Source organism: Homo sapiens, chromosome 1 (genome assembly GCF_000001405.40).
Source record: "Homo sapiens chromosome 1, GRCh38.p14 Primary Assembly".
NCBI lineage: Eukaryota > Metazoa > Chordata > Mammalia > Primates > Hominidae > Homo > Homo sapiens.
Window position 1 is genome coordinate 220,265,967 of NC_000001.11, and position 9,203 is coordinate 220,275,169.

The 9,203-nt window shown below is 42.2% G+C and overlaps 1 protein-coding gene and 1 pseudogene across 2 annotated transcripts in view, besides 2 other annotated features; both read right to left on the reverse strand.

Moving 5' to 3' along the window:
- The window catches only part of RAB3GAP2 (RAB3 GTPase activating non-catalytic protein subunit 2), a 124,161-nt gene extending 117,674 nt beyond the window's left edge, over nt 1-6,487 (reverse strand). Inside the window, exon 1 of the mRNA NM_012414.4 lies at nt 6,257-6,487. Within this exon, the coding sequence (NP_036546.2) occupies nt 6,257-6,371 (115 nt within the window). The 5' untranslated portion in view covers nt 6,372-6,487. The remainder of the gene's footprint in view (nt 1-6,256) is intronic.
- AURKAP1 (aurora kinase A pseudogene 1) lies at nt 213-1,749 on the reverse strand (annotated as a pseudogene). Its single transcript, NR_001587.1, has one exon. The product of NR_001587.1 is annotated as an aurora kinase A pseudogene 1 (transcript).
- Nucleotides 1,300-2,499: an enhancer, noted in NCBI's record as "MED14-independent group 3 enhancer chr1:220440608-220441807 (GRCh37/hg19 assembly coordinates)". NCBI's record gives its function as "activates an origin of replication core promoter dependent on BRD2, BRD4, P300/CBP and CDK7 cofactors, and independent of MED14, by STARR-seq in HCT116 cells {active_cell/tissue: HCT116}" and the evidence as "EXISTENCE:reporter gene assay evidence [ECO:0000049][PMID:35650434]".
- Nucleotides 4,581-5,082: an enhancer, noted in NCBI's record as "H3K4me1 hESC enhancer chr1:220443889-220444390 (GRCh37/hg19 assembly coordinates)". NCBI's record gives its function as "activates a minimal SCP1, AML or CMV promoter by ChIP-STARR-seq in naive H9 embryonic stem cells {active_cell/tissue: H9 hESC(naive)}" and the evidence as "EXISTENCE:reporter gene assay evidence [ECO:0000049][PMID:30033119]".

Genomic DNA, 9,203 nt, shown 5'->3' on the forward strand with positions numbered 1-9,203 from the left:
AAGACCAGACTTCATGTCTTAAGTAGATAGTATTTACTTTATAAAAACAAAATTTAACAGTTGTCATTAATGTAAACATTGGGAAAGGGTAGGGTTCAGCATCTTTTAAAGCTACAGAGGACAGTCTTCTTTTGTAATTAAATATACAAAGTAACATAAAGTCATACTTTGATAATTCAAATATAGAAGAGAGTGGTATCACTATATCTCTAGCAGCTGTCCACAGTAAAATAAAAGTACTTTTTTTTCTGTACAAATATCTTTATTTTCCTACTTAAAAAGAATCACGTACTCAGTCCAACAGCTTTACCAGGCTTGGCCAACCCAATAAGTTACACACTCACTCAGGTACTTGGAAGGTTATTGGACAGCTCCTTAACCGATCGAGTCAGCACAAAGTGGTCACTTTCCCCATAGCCAGACTCTGGATTTGCCTCCTGGGAGGACACCATGCCTGGCACAGACTGATGGGGTGGCTGCAGTCGAACCTTGCCTCCAGATTATGAACCAGTATAAGTAGCACAATTCTCGTGGCTACTTTCACTTCAGAGTGTCATGTTTATTGATGTGGAGCTTTCTGAGTAGGGAGGTTAAGGCACACCTGCTCAGTAAAACAAATATTTCTTTTAGTGTTCTAGATTGAGGGCAGCAGTCAATGGTAAAATAAATTTTGGTAGCATGTTCCTGAGAGGTTATACAGCAGCCCTGGCTCAAGGATTTCTCCCCCTGCACGATTCCTAAGAATACTTGCTAGTTGATTCTTTGTTTTGGCAATTTGATGGTTTTGATGAATTTGCTGTGATCCAGGGGTATTCAAGTACTTCTCTGAGCATTGGCCTCTGGCTGGGAACATGCTTCAACAGTCTTGAAATGAGGTCCCTGGCTCCCTCTGTTACAAAGTCAGGGAATGTGAATTCTCAACCCGTGATATTCTTTTGTAGGTCTCTTGGTATGTATTTGCCTCAAAAGGAGGCTTCCCAACTAAAAATTCACAGCAAAGAACTCCAAGGCTCCAGAGATCCACCTTCTCATCATGCATCCGACCTTCAATCATTTCGGGGGGCAGGTAGTCCAGGGTGCCACAGAGAGTGGTCCTCCTGGAAGATGGAGCATGTTCTGACCACCCAAAATTTGCAATTTCAAGCTCTCCAGCTGATCCAAGAAGTAAGTTCTCTGGCTTAATGTCTCTATGAATAACTGTTTTTGAATGACAGTAAGACAGGGCACTTGCCAATTCTGTGATATAAGTAGCAGTTCTCTGCTCATCAAACTTTGAAAGTTTCTGAAGTTCTGTATTGACTGTTTCAAGTGGTGTATATTCCAGAATTAGGTAGACTCTGGTGGCATCATGGAAATAACCATACAGTCTGATTATATTAGGATGTTGGAGGTGGGACTGTATTTCTACTTCTCTTCTGAGTTGATGCTCCACTCCTGCTTTCTCCAGCTGAGCTTTAAATAACACCCTAAGAGCCAGAATAAACTTGCTTTGTTTTTCTCTTGCCAAATAAACATTACCAAACTTTCCTTTACCCGGAGGGCGACCAATTTCAAGGTCTTCCAAAGCCCATTGCCTCTTTTTGATTCTTCATTTTTCTGTTTTGATGCCAGTTCCTCCTCAGGATTATTTTCAGGTGCCGACAGCGGGGACTGCTTGCTGTTTTGGGTGTTATTCAGTGGCCTGGAGGCAGGATGAGGTACACTGGTTGCCTGCAATTGCTTCTGCTTCTGATTCTGAACTGGCTTGTGACTGGAGACAAGCTTTTGTGCTTGCAAAGGAACACGCTGCGAAGAATTTGAAGGACACAAGACCCACTGAGCCTGGCCACTATTTGCAGGTAATGGATTCTGACAAGGAAATTGCTGAGTCACGAGAACATGTTCTGGACCTCCAACTGGAGTTTTAGCCTCAACAGGCCCTGAAATGCAGTTTTCTTCAGATTGGTCCGTGATGCCTATGACCCAAGGACCTGAGTCTTCCAAGAGCTCAGCCCAATAAAAGCACTTTTAAACCAACTGATACACCTCTATAATTCACAAGTAATTGAGGTGTTTTATGTTTTTACATATCCTCTAGAGATGAGCTAGGTTAAGAAATTACAACTATATCAGCTAAAAAAATTTAAGATGATCTCATGATTTCTGCTTCCCAATAAACATTTATAACATTAATAAATAAAGTGAAGAAAAGCAAAGGCAAATACCATCAGCAGTTTAAGTCAGGTCCTATTTACCTGCTCTGCTAATGTCATTTTTTCTCTGTAAAATTTCACTGTACAAAAGTTTACGTTCAAAACTCTTTATATTACGGCTTGGCCTAGACTATCTTAAAAGTGCTCAGAACACTTACATTAGCCTATAGTTGGGCAAAATCTTCTAACACAAAGTCTATTTTATCATGAAGGGTTGAAAATATCTCATGTAATTTCTTGAATACAGTACTTCTTGAATACCGTAGAGTACAGTCTCTCATATTTGCTGCTGCTACCCACCATCACAAAAGAGTATCTTACCCATTGTATCACTAGCTCTGGAAAAGATCAAAGTGCAAAATTTGAAGTATGGTTTCTACAAAGTACACATTGCTTTCACATTACTGTAAAGCTAAAAAATTGGAAGCCAAACCATCATAAGTCTGAGATCATCTGTACAGGTTTTACAAAGGGGCTCACTGGTGAAGAGGTCCATTCTGTTCATTTTCTACATGAACTGATCATAGCCACAATAATATCAACATACATAAACTCAAGAATTTGATTTAGAAGAGAAATACATTAAACCATATTTATAAATCTATAGGTATAGTGCAAATTAATCTAGATGTTTGGGGTGTATTTATATCCCCAACTGCCTATGTAACTTGGACAAGTATTCAATCTGTATGTACCTGAGTTTTAGCACCTATAACTGTGCCATACTATATTATAGGCATTAGCCACTTTGGCTACTTAAATTTAAATTAATTAAAATTAACTTGAATTTTAAAAATTCAGTTCCTCAGTTGCACTGGCCACATTTCACAGGCTCAATAACCACATGTGCCTAGAGGTTACCATACTGGACAGTAGAAATATAATGATGAAAATAAACAGGATGATATGATTGAGAACAACAAGTAGGAACAAGGGGGTTGTATTGACTACTTTAGATCTAGATCAGGTGGTCAGAAAAGGCTGCCCTGAGTTGACATTTGAGCTGAGACTTGAATGACAAGATGCAACTAGCATGCAAAGATCTGCAAAAAGCATCCAAGGCATAGACAACAGTGAGGGCAAAAACCTTAGCCACAAATGTGGTTGGCTGGTTTAACAACAAAAAAGAGCGTCTGAAGCATAAGAAATAAGGGGAGAGGTGTATAAGGTCCAAGAAATGGCAGGAAGCAGAGTCTCAAGGGCCTTATACACCATTTAAGAACTTTGGATTTTACGTTAAGTGCAATCAAAAACCATTGAGTGTTATTAAAAGGGCAATGTTAGGCTGGGTGTGGTGGCTCATGACTGTAATCCCAGCACTTTGGGAGGCCAAGGCAGGTGGATCGCAAGGTCAGGAGTTCAAGACCAGCCTGGCCAACATAGTGAAACCCCATCTCTACTAAAAATACAAACATTAGCCGGGCATGGTGGCGCATGCCTGTAGTCCCAGCTACTCAGGAGGCTGAGGCAGAAGAATTACTTGAACCCAGGAGGTGGAGGTTGTAGTAAGCTGAGATCATGCCACTGCACTCCAGCTTGGGCAACAGAGTGAGACTTCATCTCAAAAAAAAAGGCAATGTTGTGATCTAAATTATGCCTTAAAAGCTCACTGTAACTACTGTTGAGAATTATTACAGGAAACCAAGAGCAAAAGCAGGAAGAATTGCTAGAAGAAGACACATATCATATCATAGCCCAGGTTGAGAAAAGATGGTGGCCTGGACCAGGAGAGTGGTAGAAGGATAAAGAAAATCTGTTCCTTTTTTCTACATTCCCTATCTACAATCCTGCATCTGCTATCCTTCACAGCCAAGCTCCTTGAAATAGTATATTTCACTTTTTAACCCCTTATCCTATAACTATGCTTTCTGCCTCCACTATCCTACTGAAACTGTCCTAAGGTCCAAGTTACCTCCACCTTCTCAAAACCAATAAGCATTTTTCTATCCTTTTCTTACCTGACCCCTGCTGCATTTGCAAAACTGCTGACCATTCCTCACCCTCATCAAGTTCTCGCCTTCCTCAGCTCCGAGGGCCTTACTCTCACATGATTTTCCTCTTTCTTTTACTCCTTCTCAGTCTTCTTCCCAGTAACCTCTACTTGACTTTTAAACACCAGTGCTCCTCTAAGCTTACAGCTTTAGTACTCAGTGCATTTCACAACATACATAATCCTTGAGACTGAACTGACACTTTTTGCTGTTAGCTCCCCAATTAACATCTCTGGCCCAGTACTCCCTACTGTTTAGACTATCTATATCTGGTGTTCAACCAGATGTCCTTACTTGGACATACCATAAACATTTAAAATGCAAAAGGTTGAAAATCTGTATCCTTCATTCTCTTATTACATATAGTTGCCCAAACCACAAGCCAAAGACTTCCTAAACTCCCCCTCACTTACTAGTTACAATGCCCATCACCAGACCTTCACAAGGTCCTGCAGATTCTAACTCCTTAACGTCTTTCTAATCTAGTCCTTCATCTTCATCCTACTAAGGTTCTTAATTCAAGCTCACATAATTTCTTGCTTGGATTACTGGAAGAGCTTCCCAATCCATTTCCCTTCTTCCAATCTCTCCTCCACTTTGCTACCAGAGCACATTACAGGTCTTCAACAAATGTTGTTGATTACATTAAGTACAAATCTGACAATGTCATTTCTCTACTTAAACTTTCAGAGAAACGCCACAATTTTCACAAGGCCTCTCATGGTCTAGCTCCTTATTACTACTACTGCCTCATTGCCCCAACTCTTCCTCTCCCATCCTCCTCTCCAGCCATTCAGCTTTTCTTAGTTCTCTAAATACCATGCCATTTCAGGCCTCCCTTCCTCTGCACATGCTATTACTGCTCCTTTACTCCTCTAACTAGTACTTCAAAGGTAGGCTTAAGTATCACCACTTCAAGAAAATGCCTCATGTATATCTCAGTCACACTGAATGGAAGTTAATGATTTGTCTGTAAACCAGAAGTTCCTACAGCAGGGTCCACCAACCTTATTTGGTTTGTAGCACCAATGACTGGCACAAAGTATGCAATCATTCACAGATGGGTTCGATTTGATATCTTCTAAATTTTCTAAAAAAGGGAGAGGAGCTTAGTGGGCTTTATATCACCATTCCGGTATAGCACAAAGTGAGAGCGCTGTACTACAAAGCCAAATGTGCTTCAGGTTGGAAATGCAAAAATAAAATAAAATAAAATAAAATAAAATAAAACACAAGGCACACCCTTTCAAAATGAAATGTACGAAATTCTGAAAGCCTATATAGTATCTAATAAACCAGCCTTGGAACTTTATACTACTTGGGGAAAGGCTTATTAAACACTTTGATGATAAAAATAGGTGGAAGGCTTCAATAAAGCAAATTAACCTTTCTTGGCTATGTCACTGTAATTTTAGTTCCTAATGTAGATTCTCGTTCACTTCCTGACAGGTTATTTTCCTTCTTTGAGAGAGTCTTACCTCAAGAGTCACTCATTTGTCAGCCATTTGTTCTCAAAATCTGAATGGGGGAAATGCAGATGAAAGAAGGGAGAGTGTGGGGGGATGATCAACACTTTCGGAATGGGAGGTAGCAGAAGGCCACAGTCTCCGGGATGGAAGAGAGTGGGAGCTGGGGCAATACCAGAGTGGAGCGCTGACATGTGGCAAGGAACGGGGAGGATGCGATCACGGAGCAGGCAACATGAAACAGGGAACGACCCCAGGCTGAAGATGGGAGACGGAGAAGATACTCAGAGAGAAAGCTAGGAATGTGTGGGGGTGGGGGGAGGGAGGGAGAAAGCGGTGATAGGCAGAGGCGAGAGGAAACAAGACGCAGTTTTTAGCCAGGGGTCAGAGGGCCTAAGGAGAAAAGCTGGGTCGAGAGGAAGACAACACAAATGGGGCTTCAGGACGAGGTGGGCAGGGTGTCATCCCGGAGCGGAGGGGAGGCACGGGGAGAACTGGGGGTCCAGAGGGCAGAGGCAGGAGGCGCAGAGCGAGTAGGAGACTCGAACCCGTGAGCAGAGGCCGCGGGTGACGAGGGAAGGAAGGGCGAGGCCAGAGAGGCACTTACTGGGGTCCCTCCGCAAGGCGCCGCTGAGGATCTCCTCCCGCAGGTGAGGAAAGAGGAAGTCCCGGGCGGCCTGGAGGTCCTGGAAGTAGCAGAACTGGACAATGGAGCAGGCCATGGCTCCAGGGAACCCCACTACGGCACTCACCTTACCTCACCACGCCCTGCCCCCTCCACCCCACTGCGGCCGCCACCGAGCCCCAATAGCTCTAGCCAAGCAGAAGGCGGAGAAACCAAACCGGAAGCTGTCACTGACACGGGTCCGCTGTCTCCGAGTACTGCGCAGGCGCAGGCTGGCCCAGGCGCCTAGGGCGCGGGGGCCCGGGTCACGTGACTACGGCGCCGCCGCTGCAGGTGGAGCCAAAGTCGACGTGGAGGCTTGGGGCAGATTTTTCAGTCCCAGTTGTGTGTCTACGCCGAGGCATGAACCCTTTCATTCATTCTGGCTTTTAGCCAGAGGTGTTCTAATTGGACTTGTCCGCGCAGCCCTTTGACTTATTCAGTCTTATTGGTCCCCTACTATTGGCACGATCCTGATGTTTCACAGAAACTAATTCGTTTTAAACTAGTGGCAGGCCAGTGGGGGACCGTATCCTGCAAGAGTCGGATTTTGAAAAGATTAATTGCTCTTCCGGAGATTAGCCCCGTCAAGGCTGGCTTTAAATGCTCCTACTATAGATTCCCATAGTACTACGCAAGCCCAATATAGTACGTGTTATAGTGTATTATACACTTTTGTTTTCATTATTCATTTGGTTTTTCATTCATGCATTCATCCATCCATTCAACAAATATTTGTTAGTCTTTTAAATGCCAGCCACGCAGGGTGCTGAGCATTAGAGAACAAAAGAGAAGAAGTACCTTTTCCCAGAAAGCTGGAATTCTAGTGACTGATACAGGCAGTAAGCAATTAATTACAGTATTTCCCTTTAATCCAAGGGGATATGTTTTAAGATCCCCAGTGGATGACTCAAACCATGGATAGTACTGAAACCTATGTATGTGTATTATGTTTTTACCTATACATATATATGATAAAGTTAAATTTATAAATTAGGCACAGTGAAAGATTAACAATAACTAATAATTAAATTGAATAATTATGTGGAAAATGAACCCATGGATAAAGGGGGGACTACTGTACTTAACTATTTAACTGAAATTGTGATCATGCTAGTAAGTGCTTCATAAATATTTGCTGAAGAAATAAATGGAATGCATACATAAAGTAAATAGAATAACTTGTTTCTTTGACAAAGCACTATTTTTGAAAGTACTTTACATTGTTCATTTGGATAGTCACAAATGCCATCTAAAAATAGTGTGTCTTATCCCATTTTTAAAATAAAGAAATTGAGCTGTCTCTGAGCAGACTTTAAGTTATTTTTCCAAAAAATAAAAACAAAAAAAATTATTTTAATGTGAGCACAAAGGCCTGTAGGCACTTACACATTTCCTAAAGGAAACCTAAAGAGGCCATCCACTTTGTATGAAAAAAGGGCACAGGAACAAATGAAAGGCAAGTGGATGGGGTCCAGAGCATTCATTTCTGTCAGGCCCGTGGACATACACACTTAGTCCTAATAATATAACAACTATAATTTAGTGCCCAGGTTCCTACTCCATTATTTCCTACTTCTAGAGTAGGATGATTTTCACAAAATAGGATAGGCAATTTCTATGTTATCAGGTTAACAGGAATCAGTTCTTCACCTATAAAAGGCAGTTGAATCAGATGTGCTGTAAGGTCCCTTTAAGCATCAGGGACCTATACTTCTGTAATCAAAGCTTTCAGAAAAAGCAAGCTGCCAGTGCTCCCTTCTTCCATCTGAAGAAATGCAGTGTTTCCTCAGATCATCACTAACTAGAATAATCCAGCCCTGATAAGATTATTCCCTAAAATCCAGCACCAATCCCAAACTAAACCAAAATTTAAATTTAGATTCTTAGTGTTACTGGACGAATAACAAACACATGACACTTTCTGGAAGGAGACTGTCATTCCTTGAAAACCATTCAAGTTCCTATTCAGGTAAATGCATTTTGTGGAAGTAACTGCTGTTGGCTGATTTTGCTGGCCTTTGTTCTTCCCTGAGGCATTCATATGTCTCCTGTGGTGGTCATTGAATTTCATTACTGTGTTGGCTCAGTTTTAATGGTGAAGTCCCTGACTTCCTTCCAAGTACTGTTGAAAAGGATCATTCATGGATGTTTTTAAGGACTTTAGATACCCTTCACAGAAATTACAACACATTCATGAACTGAACTCTTCCCCCAGGAAGTTGTAATGCAACAGGGGGGGATGCCTCTGGAGTTCTGCTACCATGGTTTCTGCGGCATGTGGGAGGATTGCATCAGACAGTGAATATCACTTATTCCACAGTCATAAGAAAGCACATTGCAAAAATGTGCAGGCCTTACATATCCCAGCATTGACAGTGTCTCTCCGAGGTCTGGGTTCAGGAGGTAGGAAAAGCACTGTGACCAAAATAACAACAGGATGAGTCCAGGTACCAATGTGAACTTCCTCCAGTATCCATTAGTGTGAGTCAGAGCACAGATGACTGTTGTTAAGAGAGAGATGTGTTACTGAGGAAGATAAGCAGCAGCCCCTTGCCAATCCTTAGCAGCAGCTTGAAGCGAAGGGGTTGAGTTGCAGGATGGGCACTAAACGCAGATGTGAGAGAAAGAGCAATGGACTTGGAATCATGACTTTGGGGAATTCATGTCACTTTTTTGGGACTTAGTTTCTTGGTTTATAAAATGAAGAGGCTGGGCTCTAAAGTTCATCCCAGGGATATGTAGGTTTTGGTAAGAGACTGGGAATGGCAAGTTCTGGGAGCTGGAATTGCTTAGAAGGAGTGGTCTGTGTAAGCACCCTAGTAAGAAGCTTGGGTCAGCAGGAGAAAATGTGAGGGTACTGGACATCTCTAAGGGAAAGTAAGGGGAG